Genomic DNA, 831 nt, shown 5'->3' on the forward strand with positions numbered 1-831 from the left:
CAGAAAACCAAACACTGCATGTTCTCACTCATAAGTGGGAGTTGATCAATGTTGATCCATGAGAACACATGGACACAGGGCAGGGAACATCACACACTGGTTCTGGCCGGGGGGTGGGGCCTAGGGGAGGGATAGCATTAGGAAAAATACCTAATGTATATGATGGGTTGATGGGTGTAGCAAGCCACCATGTCACGTGTATACCTATGTAGCAAACCTGCACGTTCTGCACATGTACCCTAGAACTTAAAGTATAATAATAATAAAAAGAAATGAAAATCCTAACTTGCTAAAATAATAATAATAATTTCTTAATACAATCAGAAGCATCAACAGTAGAATAGGTCAAGCTGAGGAAAGAATTTCAGGACTTGAAGACTGGCTCATTTAATCAACTCAGATAAAAATAAAGAGAAAAGAATTAAAAAAGGATGGAAACCTCCAAGAAATATGGTATTATGTAAAGAGACTAAACCTATAATGCATTTGCGTCCCAGAAAGAGAGAGAGAGAGTAAGCAACTTGAAAAATGTATTTGAGTATATTGTCCATGAAAATTTCACTAAACTTGCTAGAGTGGTTGACATGAAAGTTCAGGAAATTCAGAGAACCCCATTAAGATAACATAAAAGATGAACATATCCAAGACACACAGTCATCAGATTCTTCCAGGTCAACATGAAAGGAAAAATATTAAAGACAGCTTGAGAGAAGGGGCAGGTCATGTACAAAAGGAACCCCATCAGACTAACAGTGGACTTTTCAGCAGAAACCTTACAGACCAGAAGTTATTGGGGACCTATGTTCAGCATCCTTAAAGAAAAGAAATTCT

The sequence above is a fragment of the Homo sapiens genome, chromosome 3 (assembly GCF_000001405.40).
Source record: "Homo sapiens chromosome 3, GRCh38.p14 Primary Assembly".
NCBI classification, from domain to species: domain Eukaryota; kingdom Metazoa; phylum Chordata; class Mammalia; order Primates; family Hominidae; genus Homo; species Homo sapiens.